The 18,778-nt window shown below is 49.9% G+C and overlaps 2 protein-coding genes, 2 long non-coding RNA genes and 6 other non-coding genes across 17 annotated transcripts in view, besides 8 other annotated features; 8 read left to right on the top strand and 2 right to left on the bottom strand.

Annotated features, from left to right (window-relative positions):
• LOC105372505 (uncharacterized) overlaps positions 1-1,217 on the bottom strand; it is a 38,419-nt gene extending 37,202 nt beyond the window's left edge. Inside the window, exon 1 of the long non-coding RNA XR_007067502.1 lies at positions 1,113-1,217. This is a non-coding gene — a long non-coding RNA (uncharacterized LOC105372505). The remainder of the gene's footprint in view (positions 1-1,112) is intronic.
• Positions 869-1,508: a silencer, noted in NCBI's record as "silent region_12604". NCBI's record gives its function as "represses an Ori minimal core promoter by ATAC-STARR-seq in GM12878 lymphoblastoid cells {active_cell/tissue: GM12878}" and the evidence as "EXISTENCE:reporter gene assay evidence [ECO:0000049][PMID:35858748]".
• On the top strand, positions 1,385-7,146 carry NOP56 (NOP56 ribonucleoprotein). 3 transcript variants are annotated; one of them, NR_145428.2, is made up of 13 exons: positions 1,385-1,416; positions 1,595-1,684; positions 2,032-2,146; positions 3,167-3,328; positions 3,502-3,700; positions 4,078-4,265; positions 4,348-4,499; positions 4,687-4,787; positions 5,154-5,302; positions 5,527-5,648; positions 5,834-5,971; positions 6,126-6,241; positions 6,682-7,146. NR_145428.2 is itself a non-coding variant. In NM_006392.4 (12 exons), exons 1-12 carry the CDS (start codon positions 1,414-1,416, stop codon positions 7,045-7,047), a joined length of 1,785 nt encoding a protein of 594 aa, NP_006383.2. In that variant the 5' UTR covers positions 1,385-1,413; the 3' UTR covers positions 7,048-7,146. The 3 variants fall into 3 exon arrangements, 1 of the variants encoding a protein (NP_006383.2); NR_027700.3 differs by lacking the exon at positions 6,126-6,241 and having other exon boundaries at positions 4,687-4,967; NM_006392.4 differs by lacking the exon at positions 6,126-6,241.
• Positions 1,486-1,528: a tandem repeat, named in NCBI's record as "NOP56 ribonucleoprotein repeat instability region".
• Positions 1,487-1,510: a repeat instability region, noted in NCBI's record as "repeat instability region; expansion of the (GGCCTG)n hexanucleotide repeat is associated with spinocerebellar ataxia type 36 (SCA36)". NCBI's record gives the evidence for it as "EXISTENCE:polymerase chain reaction evidence [ECO:0000082][PMID:21683323, PMID:25476002]" and "EXISTENCE:Southern hybridization evidence [ECO:0000078][PMID:25476002, PMID:22492559]".
• On the top strand, positions 1,530-1,595 carry MIR1292 (microRNA 1292). The gene has a single exon (NR_031699.1). It is a non-coding gene; the product is annotated as a microRNA 1292 (primary transcript).
• Positions 2,009-2,098: an enhancer, noted in NCBI's record as "active region_17470". NCBI's record gives its function as "activates an Ori minimal core promoter by ATAC-STARR-seq in GM12878 lymphoblastoid cells {active_cell/tissue: GM12878}" and the evidence as "EXISTENCE:reporter gene assay evidence [ECO:0000049][PMID:35858748]".
• On the top strand, positions 2,965-3,039 carry SNORD110 (small nucleolar RNA, C/D box 110). The gene has a single exon (NR_003078.1). It is a non-coding gene; the product is annotated as a small nucleolar RNA, C/D box 110 (small nucleolar RNA).
• SNORA51 (small nucleolar RNA, H/ACA box 51) lies at positions 3,820-3,951 on the top strand. Its single transcript, NR_002981.1, has one exon. It is a non-coding gene; the product is annotated as a small nucleolar RNA, H/ACA box 51 (small nucleolar RNA).
• Positions 4,213-4,730: an enhancer, noted in NCBI's record as "H3K4me1 hESC enhancer chr20:2636106-2636623 (GRCh37/hg19 assembly coordinates)". NCBI's record gives its function as "activates a minimal SCP1, AML or CMV promoter by ChIP-STARR-seq in naive H9 embryonic stem cells {active_cell/tissue: H9 hESC(naive)}" and the evidence as "EXISTENCE:reporter gene assay evidence [ECO:0000049][PMID:30033119]".
• Positions 4,850-4,935, top strand: SNORD86 (small nucleolar RNA, C/D box 86). The gene has a single exon (NR_004399.1). It is a non-coding gene; the product is annotated as a small nucleolar RNA, C/D box 86 (small nucleolar RNA).
• On the top strand, positions 5,377-5,447 carry SNORD56 (small nucleolar RNA, C/D box 56). The gene has a single exon (NR_002739.1). It is a non-coding gene; the product is annotated as a small nucleolar RNA, C/D box 56 (small nucleolar RNA).
• SNORD57 (small nucleolar RNA, C/D box 57) lies at positions 5,692-5,763 on the top strand. Its single transcript, NR_002738.1, has one exon. It is a non-coding gene; the product is annotated as a small nucleolar RNA, C/D box 57 (small nucleolar RNA).
• Positions 7,103-7,303: a silencer, noted in NCBI's record as "peak4124 fragment used in MPRA reporter construct". NCBI's record gives its function as "represses an SCP1 promoter by STARR-seq MPRAs in K562 erythroleukemia cells {active_cell/tissue: K562}" and the evidence as "EXISTENCE:reporter gene assay evidence [ECO:0000049][PMID:32103011]".
• Positions 7,148-12,969, bottom strand: IDH3B (isocitrate dehydrogenase (NAD(+)) 3 non-catalytic subunit beta). 6 transcript variants are annotated; one of them, NR_136344.2, is made up of 13 exons: positions 12,906-12,969; positions 12,678-12,758; positions 12,413-12,511; positions 12,199-12,319; positions 9,662-9,722; positions 9,450-9,582; positions 9,210-9,343; positions 9,016-9,118; positions 8,783-8,929; positions 8,452-8,546; positions 8,278-8,338; positions 7,391-7,590; positions 7,148-7,275 (listed from the first exon to the last, which is right to left on the bottom strand). NR_136344.2 is itself a non-coding variant. In NM_001330763.2 (13 exons), the coding sequence occupies exons 1-13, from the start codon at positions 12,939-12,941 to the stop codon at positions 7,262-7,264; spliced, it is 1,164 nt and encodes a 387-aa protein (NP_001317692.1). In that variant the 5' UTR covers positions 12,942-12,969; the 3' UTR covers positions 7,148-7,261. The 6 variants fall into 6 exon arrangements, 4 of the variants coding, with proteins under 4 accessions (NP_001317692.1, NP_777280.1, NP_008830.2 ...); NM_001330763.2 differs by having other exon boundaries at positions 7,512-7,590; XR_001754265.1 differs by having other exon boundaries at positions 7,148-7,590; positions 8,821-8,929.
• Positions 11,246-12,033: an enhancer, noted in NCBI's record as "H3K4me1 hESC enhancer chr20:2643139-2643926 (GRCh37/hg19 assembly coordinates)". NCBI's record gives its function as "activates a minimal SCP1, AML or CMV promoter by ChIP-STARR-seq in naive H9 embryonic stem cells {active_cell/tissue: H9 hESC(naive)}" and the evidence as "EXISTENCE:reporter gene assay evidence [ECO:0000049][PMID:30033119]".
• On the top strand, positions 13,027-18,206 carry IDH3B-DT (IDH3B divergent transcript). Its single transcript, NR_186432.1, has 3 exons — positions 13,027-13,359; positions 14,011-14,257; positions 16,261-18,206. It is a non-coding gene; the product is annotated as an IDH3B divergent transcript (long non-coding RNA).
• Positions 13,607-14,392: an enhancer, noted in NCBI's record as "H3K27ac-H3K4me1 hESC enhancer chr20:2645500-2646285 (GRCh37/hg19 assembly coordinates)". NCBI's record gives its function as "activates a minimal SCP1, AML or CMV promoter by ChIP-STARR-seq in naive H9 embryonic stem cells {active_cell/tissue: H9 hESC(naive)}" and the evidence as "EXISTENCE:reporter gene assay evidence [ECO:0000049][PMID:30033119]".
• Positions 18,207-18,778: the final 572 nt, after the last annotated feature.

An 18,778-nucleotide genomic window follows, 5' to 3' on the forward strand; every position in this document is an offset into this window, starting at 1 on the left:
AAGCACCTGTAACTCCAGGAAGATTCAGGATTAAGGGCAGAAATAATGAAGTAAATTGAAGTATTAGCATTAGTATTTTCCATTACATTTTGGAATCGTCTATTTTGATGTATTCACGACGGTTAAAATAATTTAACATGCTAATGTATGGATTAACTTGGCAATTCCATTTTAAAATATTAAATGGAATAACGATTCTGACTCGTAAGTAGACATGTGTAACAGAATTCAACCACATCTGTAAACCATATTGAAATTATGAGAGTAAGATTTACCAACCACATTTAGGTTTGACATATTAGATTTGTGAGTGAACTATGTACTTGGATTTTGTCAAGTAACTCAATCGCTTAACAAAATAACAATTAAATGTATAAATGCAGTTTATAGCTATACATTATTTTTAAAAATCCCCTTCGAATGACTCTTTAAAACATACCAGGGGATACGCTACTTAAGTATAACTAGGTTTTGGATTTATAACGTTAATATTAATTATTAAAGCAAAACTCATTTCTAAAGAGTCGCCTGAGTGCCCAAAAGACGCCCTCAAGGACAGGGAAGCAGCTGCGATTCACTCAGCGATCACCAGCGCCCAGAATTCAGGGCCGCCCAAGCGGAGGAGCAACACGTGGCCCAGCAAAAGGAGCTGGGTCCCGTGCAGCACAGCAACAAGAAACTGGCCTAGGAAGACGCTGGAGCGTCTTTCTTTCGCACGTTACTGCCTGCTACAGTCATTTAAAAAAAAAAAACCAAAAACAAAAAAAAGAAATAAATTAATAGTACGAAGAAAACTGCGCGAGCTACATTCCCAGCAGGGTCTGCGCCAGAGCGCGCCAGGCACCGCTCCCGTTACGGGTGGGAGGAAAGGATGCACCGCCCACCCGGCGCCGGGGAGGCTCGTCCCCGAGTAGGGGACGGGAACGCCTGGGTCCCGGGGACGTGGGGCGCAGGGTCTGGGGCCCGAGGCCACGGACGAAGCGGGAAGCCGGCTAGGCAGCGGTCTCTGTCTGGGATGGACGCCGCGCCCCACGCGGACCTCCCGCCCCGACTTCACCCAGCTCTGCTGCCCGTAACTCATATGACAAGAACATCAGGAACCGGACTATTACCCCGAAAGGGCCTTCCCAAGTCGTTTCGCCGCCTGCAGTGCCCGACCGGGGGCCGCGCGTCCCCGGCAACCACGCCCGCCCGCGCAGCTGCAGAGGCCGGAAAAGGCCCGCTCGCCCGCGCTCGGCACCACCCAGCCCGCGCTCCGGGCGATACCACCCTGGGCGGCCCCTCCAAAGGCCGGAGATGGTGTCGTCCCCGGCCTCCGATTGGTCGGGGGGGCGGGGGCGTGGCCTCTGGAGCCTGGTTCCGCGCGCCGGAGCGCGCTAGCCGCATTGCGAGCCGAACCCGGGAGCTGGCGCCATGGTGAGGAGTGGTTGCGGGGCGCGGGCGACGCGACGGTGGGGGTTTCGGCCTGCGTTCGGGCCGCAGACAGGGCCTGGGCCTGGGCCTGGGCCTGCGCCTGCGCCTGCGCCTGCCCTGGGAACGGGTTCCGGCAGACGCTGAGGTTGCGTTGACGCTCGCGCCCCGGCTCCCGTTCCAGGTGCTGTTGCACGTGCTGTTTGAGCACGCGGTCGGCTACGCGCTGCTGGCGCTGAAGGAAGTGGAGGAGATCAGTCTGCTGCAGCCGCAGGTGGGTGAGATCCGTGGGCTCCTTTGGCGGCCCCGCAGACCCTCATCGCGCGGGTCCCAGCATGCACAGCGCGCTCCCACGTGGCCGGCCGAGCGGTTCGGGGCGGGGGGACGGGCCTGGAAAGCTCTAGATCCGGGGGTCTTTACCTTGACCCATGGGTAGAATCGCTCTAGCAATTAGAAATAAGCCTCCCGGACGCCGCCCCCGAACGATTAAAGCAGAAGCTGGGATGTGGGGCCCAGGTATCAGCATATTTTAAGAGCTTCCAAGGCTGAGAACCGCTGCTTGACTGCGCCGCAGAGGCAGGAGGGAGGGAAGGAAACCACTTAGCCTCTTTCTCCCCCCAGGTGGAGGAGTCTGTGCTCAACCTGGGCAAATTCCACAGCATCGTTCGTCTGGTGGCCTTTTGTCCCTTTGCCTCATCCCAGGTTGCCTTGGAAAATGCCAACGCCGTGTCTGAAGGTAAGTCGGCCACCGCCAAGTGTCACAGAGAGATGTGGTTCCTTTCGGTATCCTCTCGGGCAGCTTGTGATAGTATTTGCCGTCCTTGGCTGGCTCTGAGTCTGATAGGCGTGAGGCAGTATTTGAGCCATACAATGTGTAATTTGAAATAATTGTCTTCACAGAGCTCAAGGTCTGGGAACTGTGCTAGACCAAACTGTTTAAGCAGACGATGTGGAATGTGTGTTAACGTTTCCTTGTGGGCACTGTAGTGACAAACTATTTTTTATTTTTATTTTTTTTGAGATGGAGTCTGTCCCCCAGGCTGGAGTGCAGTGGCAAGATCTGGGCTCACTGCAACCTCTGCCTCCCTGGTTCAGGCGATTCTCCTGCCTCAGCCTCCCGAGTAACTGGGATTACAGGCCTGTGCCAGCCACCACACCCGGCTAATTTTGTATTTTTGGTAGAGACGGGGTTTCACCATGTTGGCCAGGCTAGTCTCCATCTCCTGACCTCGTGATCCGCCCGCCTCGACCTCCCAAGGTGCTGAGGTTGCAGGCGCGAGCGACGGTGCCCGGCCGACAAAGGGGGGTTTCTTAAAGGGGGTCGGCTTAACACCTACTTGTGCCTGAGGTTTTGCCTAAACACAATCAAGTGTCTGGTTCTCTGCTTTCTGTTCGATTGGAAAGGGCAGTTGGGTAAACACAGGCTGAGAAAAAAAGGTTTGGTTCCAGAAGGCAAATTCTACGAAATACTCGAGGGTGTGTTACAAGCTATTATTTATTGCCCACTTGTGCTATCAGACCTGAATGCAGTTGTTCCCATGGCTGGGCCAGGCTTTGCAGTGATGACTTGCGAATCAAATCTGTCAATCCCCTGAGTGCAATCACTGATGTCTCCATGTCTCTGAGCAATGCCTGATGGGGAGGGATCTAGGTATGCCATCCCAGCGTGCTCGGTGGGACCAGGGTAGTCAGCTGAGGGATGTTAGAGTTGATCGTCCTTCAGCCTGTTAGTGGGAACTGTGTTCTTTCCCCTGAGGGGTTGTTCATGAGGACCTCCGCCTGCTCTTGGAGACCCACCTGCCGTCCAAAAAGAAGAAAGTACTCTTGGGAGTTGGGGATCCCAAGATTGGTGCCGCAATACAGGAGGAGTTAGGGTACAACTGCCAGACTGGAGGAGTCATAGCTGAGATCCTGCGAGGTGAGACCATCATCTGTTATATTCCTGTTATCCTGGACATTTTGGGGGAGGAGGTTCTGGAAACTTGGTTGCTTGTTGTGATTTCTGGGAAGGCCTTCAGGCTGGGCTGGTGCCCGTGGGTGCGGGAGCTAGCTCAGAGCCCCTTGTTGCTCACCGTCTTGCCCTCTTCTTAGGAGTTCGTCTGCACTTCCACAATCTGGTGAAGGGTCTGACCGATCTGTCAGCTTGTAAAGCACAGCTGGGGCTGGGACACAGCTATTCCCGTGCCAAAGTTAAGTTTAATGTGAACCGGGTGGACAATATGATCATCCAGTCCATTAGCCTCCTGGACCAGCTGGATAAGGACATCAATACCTTCTCTATGCGTGTCAGGTAAAGTGCAGGGGCCACCCATAATACTGGAGCCTTTGGTCTGTAGTTCAGTTAATTTTGAGTCTTGATGAGGACTGACCATCCTGTGGGTAGAACCATGTGGGCTGGGGCTGGGTGTAGGCCTCCTGGTGCTTACCACAGGCTGTGTTCTTACACTGACTGTATAGAAAGAGGAGGTAGAGTAAACCTACCCCATATACACCTCAGCTCAGGCCCTGTGCCTGGTCTGTATTGTGAATGGGGGAACATAGAATTGAGGAAGATTTGGATCTTTGTCCCATTTCCTCCAGGCAGAGTAGGTGTGGAGAAGGCAAGGCTGTAGCTCTATGGTTTTTGATGAAGCAGCTGGGCCAGGGAGTGACTGTGGCTCTTTGCAGGGAGTGGTACGGGTATCACTTTCCGGAGCTGGTGAAGATCATCAACGACAATGCCACATACTGCCGTCTTGCCCAGTTTATTGGAAACCGAAGGGAACTGAATGAGGACAAGCTGGAGAAGCTGGAGGAGCTGACAATGGATGGGGCCAAGGCTAAGGCTATTCTGGATGCCTCACGGTCCTCCATGGGTCAGTGCAGAGCCTGGCAACCTGCATAAGGTATGGGGCTCTAAATAGCTGGCCTCTTGCATTCACACTTGGTTTTTCCTAGGCATGGACATATCTGCCATTGACTTGATAAACATCGAGAGCTTCTCCAGTCGTGTGGTGTCTTTATCTGAATACCGCCAGAGCCTACACACTTACCTGCGCTCCAAGATGAGCCAAGTAGCCCCCAGCCTGTCAGCCCTAATTGGGGAAGCGGTGCGTCACAGGGGACTCAAAAATGGGAGAATAAGGACTGTTGCCATGTGCACCTGCACTGCTGTATTTCGTGACCCACCATGTCTTCCCTAGTTGTGCTTGATGGGGAGGTGGGGAGCAGGGCTGTCGTGCAACTGGGCAGGTCAGCAGTTCATTTCTCTGACTGCTTCCTTGACTCTCTCTCCAGGTAGGTGCACGTCTCATCGCACATGCTGGCAGCCTCACCAACCTGGCCAAGTATCCAGCATCCACAGTGCAGATCCTTGGGGCTGAAAAGGCCCTGTTCAGGTACCAGTGAGGGCACCTGCCCACAATCAGGTGCCACTTCTGGTGCCCACTGCTTGTTGGGGGATCACGGTGATGGCTGACCAGGGCTCCCTGACCTATACAGGCCTCTGCTATGGGGGTGATGGCCAGTCCTGGTGTCTGAGTGATTCCCAGGGCCCAGCAAAGGGACCAAGTTTCCAGGTCAGCGACATTGGATGCCTTCCCTCTGCCTCTGGGAGCTATGGGTTGGCATGCATTGGGGTAGAGATCCAATCTGGCCTGAGGCTCACTCAGGACTTCGGGGTGAGAGGAGGGGAGGAGCTGAGCTGCCTTGGCTAATGGGGTTGAAATTTCTGATCTTAAACTCTCCACTGAATATTCTCTCAGAGCCCTGAAGACAAGGGGTAACACTCCAAAATATGGACTCATTTTCCACTCCACCTTCATTGGCCGAGCAGCTGCCAAGAACAAAGGCCGCATCTCCCGATACCTGGCAAACAAATGCAGTATTGCCTCACGAATCGATTGCTTCTCTGGTATGGGTGGGGGGGCGTTGGCAGGTGTGAGAAGGGGCTGGGTGGCTGGGTGGGGAGGCTTGCAACCATAGCTTCCACAATGATGGCAATATTTTTCGTCAACAGCAGTTCACCTAGTGAGTGTTGAGACTCTGGGTCTGAGTGAAGCTGAGGGTAGAGGGAACACAGGGTTGGGGTAGTTTCTCTCTTTGGGCTGACAGGCTTTGTCACCCACACACATCCAGAGGTGCCCACGAGTGTATTCGGGGAGAAGCTTCGAGAACAAGTTGAAGAGCGACTGTCCTTCTATGAGACTGGAGAGATACCACGAAAGAATCTGGATGTCATGAAGGAAGCAATGGTTCAGGTCAGTTGGGCTTTGCTGGGTGTGGAGTGGCATAGCTAGCTGTTGGAGGTGATGAACTGTCTGAGCCTGACCTTGTAGAATGGAGGCAAAAAAACTGATTTAATGAGCCTGATCCAATAAAGCCAGAAAGGAGTCCTCAGAGCACCAGAAGTCTTCAGGCCCTTTTAGCACTTTTCTTTGACCAGGCAGAGGAAGCGGCTGCTGAGATTACTAGGAAGCTGGAGAAACAGGAGAAGAAACGCTTAAAGAAGGAAAAGAAACGGCTGGCTGCACTTGCCCTCGCGTCTTCAGAAAACAGCAGTAGTACTCCAGAGGAGTGTGAGGTCAGTAGGCAGCACGGCCCTGGCAGAGATCCTAGGTTGTAGGATTTTCAACAGCAGAACAAAGGATATGCTGCATCAAGCTGTGGTCTTGAGTCCAGGCTTTTGGACTGAAACAAGGACCTGAAACATCTAAAACTACCTCTTGATTCTATAGGAAGGAGATAGGTGCTGAACTTGCTCAAGAGCCCAGAGAGCTGGTTGTAGCTCACACCCGTTCCCTGGGCATGTGTGTTCTGTCCTCGGCTGCCTCCCAGGAGTCCTCAACCTGGGGTAGTGTAAATTCCTGCTCTGCTTATTATCAGACGTGTGTCCGGAGGTGGTCGTGTTTCACAGTGGGGATGGGGGCAGGGAGGTCCCCAATGTGCTAAGCTACAATCATTCTCCCTGAGATTTTCATTTAGCACCCAGTTTCTTAAACAGTGTTTCAGGGCCCTGTCTGGAACTTGGCATGATGGTTCTGTTGCGACCAGCATGGTGGGTGTTTTTTAGGTTTTTTTTTTTAATGGGCTGAGGTAATTTCTCATGACATGTTTTCCTTCTAATTTGGGACAGCCTTTGGGGTGGATTTCTAAAGTTATACCCACACAATTAAACTATCCCAGAAACACTGGGCAATGTTAACGACACGCGTTCCCCTGCCTTGGCTACTTAATTGCTGAAGATGTAATGAGCACTGTTCTCACAGCCTGTTCCCCTGTCCTTCCCTTTAGGAGATGAGTGAAAAACCCAAAAAGAAGAAAAAGCAAAAGCCCCAGGAGGTTCCTCAGGAGAATGGAATGGAAGACCCATCTATCTCTTTCTCCAAACCCAAGAAAAAGAAATCTTTTTCCAAGGAGGAGTTGATGAGTAGCGATCTTGAAGAGACCGCTGGCAGCACCAGTATTCCCAAGAGGAAGAAGTCTACACCCAAGGAGGAAACAGTTAATGACCCTGAGGAGGCAGGCCACAGAAGTGGCTCCAAGAAAAAGAGGAAATTCTCCAAAGAGGAGCCGGTCAGCAGTGGGCCTGAAGAGGCGGTTGGCAAGAGCAGCTCCAAGAAGAAGAAAAAGTTCCATAAAGCATCCCAGGAAGATTAGAATGCAAATGGACATTCTCTGGGAGGTGGGGCATACCATAGCCCAAGGTGACATTTCCCACCCTGTGCCGTGTTCCCCAATAAAAACAAATTCACAAGAGTTGGTTCATGTTCTTTATTGAACACCTTACATGGGTATGGACAGGGCCTATGGGTGGGGCAAGGCAGCAATGACAGCCTCAGTGAAGTCATGGCAAGTAGCATAGCCACCCATGTCAGAGGTTCGAACCTGTGGGGGAGAATCATCATCATCCATGTGGCCTGGGCTCCATCCTAACAATCCCCATCACCACCCAACAGTCTGTCCCCTAAGGAAGCCGGCCCAAGGACAACCTAGGCTCTACCCAGCAAGGTGACCATGGTCCACTGCTTAGAGGCACAAGGTCTCTTCCCTGGTACACTGCACTGAAGGGTATGGGGAGTGTGGTCCTTGCAAGGTTGGAAGAAATAAAGGGCTCTAGCTCCCTTTAGTCTGCAGGTGACCGATGACAGACTTGATGAAGTCGGTTGTGGTGCTGTAGCCGCCCATGTCTCGAGTCCGCACCTACAGCCACCACCGGCAACAGCCGTGGGGAGGGAGAAAAGAGAGCCCATGAAGGGAGGTAGGGCAATGTGATTGAGGAAATGGAAGCCAAGAATGCGTGACAGCCAGAAAAAAGGCAATGCACAGGAATGGAAGGAGGAGCCAGGATGGGAAGCACATGGACCTGCCACTCCTCTTAAGCCACTATTAGCTGTGCTGCAGCCAGGGCAGGACAGGAGGCTGAGCAGGCAAAGATGATGGGAAACGCAGATCAGAGGCAGGATGTGGCTACCTTCCTTGGAAGAAATAGAGACAAGACCAGGTGGAAGGAAAGAATCACAGCGAAAAGGAGATGGGGCGTGAAGGTGAAGCTGATGCTTCAGCCTGCCTGTATCCCTTGCTGTTCCACCCCCAAGGAGAGCTGCAAGTTCTGCATTCAGATGGCCCATGAAAAGGGCAGTGGATGGAGCAGGAAAGAGGGAACAGCAGATGGGATCTAAGAGGCAAAAGAGATCAAGAGGATGAAACAGCCAAGAGAAGGGAGATGAAGAACAGCCCTGAGAGGGATGCAGGGATGTCAGGGAGCAGATGTTCTGGGGACCTGGGGGGAAAGGAGACCCCCATTCAGGTTCCCCAGAGGGTAGTGCCGAGGTGCTGACACCAGAACTACTCTAAATCCTGAAGCCAGCACTACTCTTCTCAACTCACCTTGCCAACTTTGATCACCTTCTTCACCGCATCTGCGATCATGCTGGAGTGATACTCAAGACTGTGGATATGGACAGGAAGAAACTGTGACTCCCCCAAGACACCTCCCGCTAATTTCCCCACCTGCTCCTCCTCACGACACCCAACCTCTGCCGACAGCCTCCCATGACCTACTTAAGATGCCGCAGCATGTTGGAAGCCGACAGCAGCATGGCCGTGGGATTGGCTATATTCCTGCCCACTGCCTGGGCAAATGGGTGCCGGGCACCCTGTGGAGAGAGGGGCAGGCTAGACACTGGGAGGAGGCAGGAGGGGTATGCAGAGGCTTAGGTTGGAAAAGGACATTATGGGAGGGGGAGCTCAGGCCAGGGTCACTGAAAAGAGGCATGGTGGGCAGCGTGGGGGAAGAACAGGCCAAGATCACTTAGGAAGTGGAGATATTGGGATGGGAGAGGAATGGCGGACTTGAGGTCAGAGGAAGGGCCGAGGGAGAAAGCAGCCTCACCGTCTCAAAGACTGCGTATTCTGCACTATAGCTCTCACCAGGGACCACACCAGCTCCCCCAACCAGGCCAGCAGCCAGATTGTCAATAATGTTCCCATAGAGATTGGGCATCACAAGCACATCAAACTGGTAAGGATTCTGCACCAGCTAGAGGGTGAGATGCAGGCATGAAGTAAATTCCACTCCCCACCCTCCTCCTCCGCCCCATGAGTAGAGATGTGGGGAGGCCTCACCTGCATGCAGCAGTTGTCTATGATCATTGTCTCAAATTTGATTTTGGGGTACAGTTCAGCAACTTCCTCACAGCACTGCAGGAACAACCCATCCCCAAGTTTCCTGTCCATGGGCCAAAGGGGACAGAATCAGCCAAGAAAGTACAGGGGCTACCTTCCCAGGAACCCATCCTACACAAAGCCATGCCCCTCACATGATGTTGGCCTTGTGGACAGCAGTGACCTTGCCCCGCCCCTTCTTGGTGGCATAGTCAAAGGCGAACTTTGCAATCCGCTGAGACTTGGCTCGTGTGACAATCTTCAAACACTCAATCACACCCCTTGCACTCTGGGTAAGAAGAAAGCAGCAGCTAGGTGACACTGGGAAGGGAAACAAGGAGCTCCACCTCTCTCCCATCTTCATCCTTGCCCTCCCCCAGTTTCTGGGGCCTCACCTCATGTTCCAGAGAGCTGTACTCCCCTTCTGTCTGCTCTCGAATGATCACCAGGTCTAGATTGTTGTGCCGAGTCATATACCCAGGAAGTGACTTCACATGGACTACGTTGGCAAATAAGTCCAACTTACGCCTGAGGGTGGGCAGGGCCATCAGCTCTGCTCCTGGTGCCCTGGCACCTCTCAACCATTCACCCCACCCAGACCACCTACCTCAGCCGCATATCATAGGAGGCTAGCTCCCCCTTATACTCCATCGGGGTATGAATCTTTCCTGTGAAAACAAAGTGGGAAAAGGAGTGTCAGCCACAGGCCAAGCCCAAGGGAACTCAGACCAGTGTCTAACCCCCTTAGGAACATCATGTAACCCAGACTCCCATCTCCCATTCCCACATCAGTAAACTTTTAAATTGTCTCTGGGGGCAAGGGACAAAAGAGAATAATGTAGTTAAAGCCAGAAACATTTCATCTATTGCATTTTCTGTGTGTGTGTGTGTGTGTGTGTGTGCGTGTGTGAGAGACACAGGGTCTCACTCTGTCGCCCAGGCTGGAGTGCAGTGGCACGACCTGGGCTCACTGCAACCTCTGCCTCCCAGGTTCAAGCAATTCTCCTGCCTCAGCCTCCCCAGTAGCTGGGATTACAGGCATGTGCCACCACACCTGGCTAATTTTTTGTATTTTTAGTAGAGGCAGTGTCTCACCATGTTGGCCAGGCTGGTCTCAAACTCCTGACCTCAAGTGATCCACCCGCCCCGGCCTTAATGCTTTATTTTTAGTCAACATATTTAATTTATGTTGAAACTTCAAAACGGAGAACAGATTTTTTCTATTTATCAAAAAAGAGCCTGGGTTTAACAACAAGTTGAAAAACAATGCTAGCAGATCTGTGATCTTTTTATCTGTGCCTTCTCCTTATTTGACATTTTTTAACCCAACACCTACTGATGAATATCAATTATATGTCAGGCAATAAGGATAACAACTAAAACCATACAACTCCTGCCCTTGAGAAGCAAACGGTACACTGGGAAAGACAGAAAATATGAAAGACATGATAAGTACCATGGGAAACTTGCATAGCAACACAAAGAGGAAATCCTCTCCAGTAATATCAGGATACAGCACAGAAGAGCTGGCACTTCAGCCATGCCTTGAGCCCCAGAACCTATGTATGTGACCTTATTTGGGAAAAGAGGCTTTGCAGATGTAATTAAGTTAAGGATCTTGAGAAAAAATCGTCCCATCCAGGGCTAAATATTTGAGGAGAAAAATGATACCGAGACAGAGAGGGAAGAAAACCACAGATATTGGAGTGATGCATCTACAAGTCAAAAAACAGCAAGAGCCACCAGAAGAGGCAAGAAAGGTTTCTCCCCTAAACCTTCAGAGGGAGCAGGGCCCTGCCAACACCTTAATTTCAGACTGATGGCCTCCAGCACTGTGAGAGAATACATTTCTGTTAATGATAAGCCACCAGGTTCATGGTAGTGTGTTACGGCAGCTATGGGAAACTAATACAGTGAATGAGTGAGAAGGACTCTAACAGGTAGCACCAAAGAAAGAACGTTCTGGGTGGAGGGAACAATATAAGTCAGGTAGTACATATTTGGAATCTAACACACAATCTAGTGTGATTGAAGCACAGAACAAGAGTTGTGGAACCAAGGCAGAAAATTAAGGGCCAACTTATAAAGTACTGACTTTCCTATGGTAAGGCTGGGCCTGGAAAATCAGGCTGTTCTTTCCAAGAAGAGATATGGAAGATGAACTATAGGGGCAGAACTAGAAGCCAAAAAAATCAAATGAGGAGATTAAAGCGCGGAAGACAAAAGAAAAGGGGCAGCTAGGCACGGTGGCTCACGCCTATAATCGCAGCAGTTTGGGATGCAGAGGTGGGTGGATCACTTGAGGTCAAGAGTTCGAGACCAGCCTGGCCAACATGGTAAAACCCTCTCTCTACTAAAAATACAAAAATTAGCCTGGGCATGGTGGCTCACACTTGTAATCCCAGCACTGTGGGAGGCCAAGGCGGGCAGATCACAAGGTCAGGAGTTCGAGACCAGCCTGACCAACATGGTGAAACCCCATCTCTACTAAAAATACAAAAATTAGCCAGGCATGGTGGCACGCTCCTGTAATACCAGCCAGCTACTCAGGAGGCTGAGGCAGGAGAATCACTTGAACCCGGGAGGCAGAGGTTGCAGTGAGCTGAGATGGCAACATTGCACTCCAGCCTGGGCGACAGAGCGAGACTCTGTCTTAAAACAAAACAAACACAAAAATTAGCTGGGTGTGGTGGTGCACACCTGTAGTCGCAGCTACTCAGGAGGCTGAGGCAGGAGAATTGCTTGAACCAGGGACGGGGAGGTTGCAGTGAGCCGAGATCGCGCCACTGCACTCCAGCCTGGGCGACAGAGCAAGAAGAAACAAAGAGGAAGGAAGGGAGGGGAAAAAAAAAAAAAGAAAAGGGGCAGCTAAAAGTGGTATTCCAGAAATGCAATGAATAAGATTTGATGACAGTTGATGTAGCCTCAGGACAGACTCAGAACCCCTGGAACTTTTCTGCATAGACAGCTGACATGATCTCTCAACTCCTGGGCTCCCAATGGGAAGGAACAAATGTCCAAATACCAATGGTGGTTGCCCTGGAGTTAATATAATTGCATAGCATGTGGGGAGAAGGGCTTAATAAACATTTGGTCATTTGATTTTAAATGGCACATGGACAAGTGGCAAGAGGGCACACATACCAATGATGGCCACTTTGTTCTCCTTCATGGAACTCAGCACCTGCTCCAGCTTCTCCTCAGATGCCATATTCTGCACCTCACTCAGGTGGTGCTCCTGGAACTCCACTGGGACAGCGGCAGCCTTCAGAGACAGGTTCCCAAAACATCACAGTCAAGGCCAAGTCCTTTCCAACACACTACTGTCCTCTACTGTCTGATCCCCGAGGCCACTCACCTTGAACACCTCCTTGACGGCGTGCATCAGCTCAGGCCCCACACCGTCTCCCGGAAGCATGGTCACGGGAAAGGAGCCCTCCACCCTCACGTCCTCGGCCTCAATTGGGGGAAGAGGGGAGAAGTAAAGATAGAGCTGGGGCGGGAGCACGGATCCTGGGAGTAGAGAAGTAGGGAGACCCGGGAGGGGTGGGGAAAAGCCAGGGGAGGGAGCAGCGAGGAAGGGACAGGGTCGTAAGAGAGACCCCAGCCAGATTCGTGCATACCTGGCTCCGCGATGCAGCGTGCGCCGCGGCCGAGGTACTCAGACCTCTCCATGCCCCAGGGTTCCCGGCGGAGACCAGCGCCTGCAACAGGGACACACAAGCCTGTAAGGTCAGCTTTGAGACATCCAGACCCCGAACACTACAGTTGACTTTGCCCTGTTTAGGAAACCCTAGGACAAACTCTCCGCTCCTTCGCCCGCCCCTGCCCGACATGTCCCGGGGCCTCACTCGGGTCAGCCAGCGGACTCCGCTCAATGCCGCCATGTTTCCCGCAGGAAGTCGCGTGGGAAGTGACGCCTGAAGCTGGCGCGGCCCCGTACCCCGACTTCCGGCCTGTACTGAGTTCCTGGTATTTCTCTCTCTGCGCCAACCAGCACTGCTTGCTCACGCCTGTTTCTCCTTTTCCTTGCCGGTGGGGAGGTCATGGGATGCGCAAGCACTTTGTCTCTTGCTTTGTTTTCAGTCGCCATATTTAATCTACGTCGAAACTTCAAAATAACATTAGGGGGAAAAATGTAGCGTCATGTTTATCAGACGAGGACCTGAGCTTAACAAGCGATTGAGAGAAAATCCTTGGGAAGCTGTTAAAATTTGTGTGTCAATGCGTTTGTTATTCTTTTAACCAGTACTCACTGAATACCTGTATGTCAGGCTCTCGAGGAATACAGTACAGACATGGGAGGTGTGTGTCGGGTTTCTCCGCCAGTCTCCGAGAGTGCCCAGGACCTCTGTATTACCCGTCGCCTCGTAGTTTTTTCTTACAGGGTTTTGTTCTTTGCTCTGACAGTTATTTCCCTAATAGTGTGTCCCGGACTTGAACTCCCCAGGACAGGCCCATAACTAGTGTCAGAAATGAGTTCAAGCGTGTAAGTGTGACTAAAGGGAATTTCAGACTGATCCTTAAAGTAACAATCATAAAAACTAAAAAAAGCCTGGACAACATAGGGAGACCTCGACTCTACAAAAAATTTAAAAATTAGCCAGGCGTGGTGACACACCTGTAGTCCCAGCTACTTAGGAGGCTGAGGTGGGAGGATCACTTAAGCCCGGGAGGTGGAAGCCGTAGTGAGCCGTGATGGCACCACTGCACTCCAGCCTGGGAGACGGGGCGAGACCCGTCTCAAAACAATTACAGTCACGATTTTTTTTTTTTTTTTTTTGAGACAGAGTCTCGCTCTGTCGCCCAGGCTGGAGTGCGGTGGTGCGATCTCGGCTCACTGCAAGCTCCGCCTCCTGGGTTCACCCCATTCTCCTGCCTCAGCCTCCCGAGTAGCGCCCGCCATCACACCTGGCTAATTTTTTTTTTTTTTTTTTTTTTTTTTTGTATTTTTAGTGGAGACGGGGTTTCACCGTGGTCTCGATCTCCTGACGTCGTGATCCGCCCGCCTCGGCCTCCCAAAGTGCTGGGATTACAGGCGTGAGCCACCAAGCCCGGCCTCCAGTCACGATTTTAGGTGTGTACAATTGACACACCTAAAGACAAACTGGTACAGGAAGATTTGCCTCACCCGCTCTTCTGGAAGTATGGTTTTGGATCACCTATCCAGATGGACCAGAGCTCTTGTTAAAAGTGCAGGCTTGTGAGTCATACTTCATTTGCTGAATCCAAATCTCAGTGATGGGGGCCCAGAAAATATATCTCTAACAGGCTCCCCGTTAATACACACTGAAATTTAAGAACCACTAGCTAGGTTCTCTGTGATAAGTTCCTCCTTCGTATATACCTCAACCAGCCAAAAAGGTGGCAACGCAAAGGCATTCCCAGTGCTTCTATTCTTGGGGAATATGCATAGGCTTTGTGCCTCCTCTGCAATCCTTTAGGTGCGACATTCTCCTATATAGTAGTAGGATGAGAAGATTAAACTAGGTAATGTGTAAGAGTTTTGAACAAATGAAAAGTACTGGGTAAATATAGAGCTGTTATTATAGCTAATATAATATTAGTATAACACACTCCTCTATTTCCATTCATATATCCCATGAAACCAACCAAAACCAGAGAGCACCACCGTCTTGCTCCCATAGACTCCCTCGTCCCAGCTTCCACATCACTATTAATATTCGTCACTATTTTTCTTCTCCAAATATTTCTCCTTCTGACTAAGAAAAAAATGGAAGATTTATAACCTCTGCCTCCCGGGTTCAAGCGATTTTCCTGCCTCCGCCTCCCTGGTAGCTGGGATTACAGGCACGCGCCACCACACCCGGCTAATTTTTGTATTTTTATTAGAGACAGGGTTTCACCATGTTGGCCAGGCTGGTCTTGAGCTCCTGACCTCAGGTGATCTGCCACCCTCAGCCTCCCAAAGTGCTGGGATTACAGGCATGAGCCACCGCACCCCGCCAAATTTACTCTTTTTAAAAAACTACATTTTCTGTTACGTCAGGAAATGTGGGATAAGAAAGAAGAGAGATGTACCATCTTAATCCAATCTCTGATAATAATCTAATTTTCTTGAGGGTGACTACATCATTTCCATCCCTAAATTCTGCACAGACTTGTTCCCCACCTAACACTCAAAAAATATCTGCTAACTGATAAAACACTAAGTGGCCATCACCAGGGTGAAAGGAACTGATGGAGGTTACCAGTGGACACAGGCCAAGGAGATGAGACCATTATTGTCTGAAGGCCACTGTGTTCTCCCCATGAACTCAGCAAGCTCTCCTGGCCTTCAAGTCCCCATGAGGGCATCTTTGACCAATACTGCCTGATAATGGAGAAATCCTGTCAGGACCTTTGAAAAGTTTCTTAACCTATCTCCTGGGGGATGGGAGGGAGGTTATACCATCTTGTTCTCTTCTAACTGTTGTGGAGTCTCCTCTGCTTAGCACAAGAGGCTATAATGATGGATGAGCTGCCTACACTTGAGTGTTCAGTGTGAAGCTGAGTGACTTGAATGTCTGCTTCCCAGGCCTGCAAATCCTCCAGCACAGGAGTCCTGACTTGGGATCTACAGAACCCCCTAGGTGTCCATGAATAGGAATCAGCACTGTGAACCTGGATGGGGGAAAAACCAAAAATCACATCTTTATTCTCACTAACCTCTAACTGAAGTTTAGCATTTCCTTTCATTATGAATGCAGGTCACAGATTACAGTGCTGCCTGTAGTACTCTTGACTTTGTCAATCATAAAAAGTATAGATATTTTCATACCACATTTTAGTTGTAGTAGATCTCTCAAAATATCACTTACTTTAATCCTATTTTTACATTATTTGACCCAATGCTAGATTGTGTTATTTAATGAATTAATAAAGCAGCAAACATAGTAGTATGTTACAAGGTAGCTTTTATTCCTTTTCTCCTTTTAGAGAGATGGTTTCAGTCTGTTCCCCAGGCTAGGGTGTGATCACGGCTCACTGTAACCTCAAACTCCTGGGCTCAGGTGATCCTCCCACCTCAGCCTCCCAAGTAGCTGGGACTACAGGCATGCGCCACCATGCCTAGCTAATTTTTAAATATTTTGTAGACATGAGGTCTTGCTATGTCGCCCAGGCTTGTCTTAATCATATTTGTCTTGTAATTCTATTTATTTTATATACTTAAAAGTCTCTTTTTTTTTTTTTTTTTGGAGACAGAGTCGCTCTGTTGCCCAGGCTGAAGAGCAGTGGGCGATCTCAGCTGAGTGCAAGCTCCACCTCCCGGGTTCACACCATTCTCCTGCCTCAGCCTCCGGAGTAGCTGGGACTACAGGCGCCCGCCACCACGCCCAGCTAATCTTTTTGTATTTTTAGTAGAGACAGGGTTTCACCGTGTTAGCCAGGATAGTCTCGATCTCTTGACCTCGTGATCCACCCGCCTCGGCCTCCCAAAGTGCTGGGATTACAGGCATGAGCCACTGCACCCGGCCTAAAAGCCTCTTCTAAGAAAGGTTCCACAGGCTTCACCAGCCTTCCAAAGAGGTCCGCTGCACACAAAAGTTTCAGAATTTCTGGTGTATTAGGCCTACTGGATCTTTTTCTGAAACCATGAACAATCAAAAGAGTAATATAACCAATGACAATTCCTTGAAAATTAACGTCTGAAAAAGCTTCTTGGGAGAATTTGATCTGTGATTGAAAGGATAAACAGAATTACAGAGGAGAAGTGATTACACTCAGGGAAAATGGAAATGTAAGCAAAGCTACTGTTTCAGATCAACTGCCCTAGAAGCAGAGCCCAAGACAGGGATTCTATGCAATTGACCTGTTGAAGGAGTGCTCTCAGGAGAAACACATCAGAAGGTGAATGAGCAGAATATGGAGGGGAAGGAGCTCAGCAAGATGTGGCCTCAGCCAGAGTCCACCTCAGCCCCATCTCCTGGGGAGCTCTGGAGCATTAGTGACAACTCAAGGTTGTCATGATTTGAGACAAGGCTTAACAACCCTGCTTTGCCCCTGCATGGCATAGGCCAGGGCCAATCCTTCAGAGAAGGGGGAAGCTTTGAGCCGTTAGTGGCAAATACCTGAAGCAACTGGGGGAATGGATACACCAGCTTGCCAAGAGGACCTGGCCAAGGCAGACACTACCTTGCGGAGGTGACAGTGAACATAGCGTGCTGACGAACAGTGAGGTGGGCAGATATATTTGAGGAGATGAGTTATAGTGAGGATTGGTGAGTAAGTAGGACTGGTGCATGTTCAAGGTCCGAGAGAAACAGAGAGAGTTTTGTGAGCAATACTAAGCACCCTGTTGAGGTTGGTGACCATGAAGTTTATTGTGGTGCAATTGTGTGTGATTTCACGGTGAGAGCAAACCAAAAGTGAGTTCATCCAAAAGTGATATTTTGCTAGAGAGTGGTACAAGGGAGTTGAGAGTGTTGGCAAAATGGGATCAGGAGGCAAGTGAAGACAGAAGAGATCTAATCAACAGGCAGCTGAGGAAAGAATCAAAGACCCCCCCAAAATATTCAAAGAGTAGTACTTGTGGGAGTTGTTGAGCAAGTAACATGGGAAGAGAGGACGCTGCTTCCACCAGTGGTTTTGGAGGTGGAGTAGATGCTGGTGATAATGAAGTCCCAGATAGGAAATGGGAGTGGATGCCAAGGAGATCTCAAGGACCCTGCAGATGAGGACTCAAACCCACAATATTGATGAGGCATCCATGTCACCATGGGAGTCAACGAGGATAGTGGCCTCAGCTGAGGCAGGGAAAAGCTGGGATCCAAGTGACATAGTCTTCTCTTGATAAGCAAGAGAGACCAGGAGATGAGAGATGGCAGAGAATGAGAGAGGTGATATCAGTTACCAGAAAGAGCCCCTAAAAGGCAACACTTCTTTTTTTCCATTAGTTTTAATATAGAATTTTGCTTTAGTACTTTTAATTAGATAACCCTCTTTTAAAAATATATATTTTTTAAAATATATTTTTTTCTTACCATACCAACTCACAGCCCCAATCTTTTTGCCCTAACCTCAGAATCAGTTAGTTGTCCGCTTTAAAACCCTTTTCTTACACACACACACACACACACACACAGAATATATAGTATTGTTTTTGGTGTATGAGTGTGTGCGTCGGAATAAATGGTTTCATACTCTATATACTTACTGTTTTATAATTTACCTTCTTCACTCAACACTGTATCTCAGATGTCTTAGAGATCTAAGACACCATATCTTAGAGAATGAGCAGCCTCATTGTTTTATTCCGTAATATGAATTTACTAAATTTATTGGGCCTTTTTTTTTGAGACAGAGTCTTACTCTGTCACTCAGGCTGGAGTGCAATGGCACAAAATCGGCTCACTGCAAGCTCCGCCTCCTGGGTTCAAGTGATTCTCTTGCCTCACGCCCAGATAATTTTTTGTATTTTTAGTAGAGACAGGGTTTCACCATGTTGGCCAGGCTGGTCTCAAACTCCTGACCTCAGGTGAGCCACCCGCCTCGGCCTCCCAAAGTGCTGGAATTACAAGCATGAGCCACCGAGCCCGGCCTGAGCCTTTCTTAAATTGATGATAGTGTGGTTTCTAGTTTGGGCCATTATCAGCAACATTGCTGTGTACATATCTTTATATCAGGGTGTCCAATCTTTCAGCTTCCCTGGGCCCATATTGGAAGAAGAATTGTCTTGGGCCACACATAAAATACACTAACACTAATGGTAGTCGATGAGCTA

This window comes from Homo sapiens, chromosome 20 (genome assembly GCF_000001405.40).
Source record: "Homo sapiens chromosome 20, GRCh38.p14 Primary Assembly".
Taxonomy (NCBI): Eukaryota; Metazoa; Chordata; class Mammalia; order Primates; family Hominidae; genus Homo; species Homo sapiens.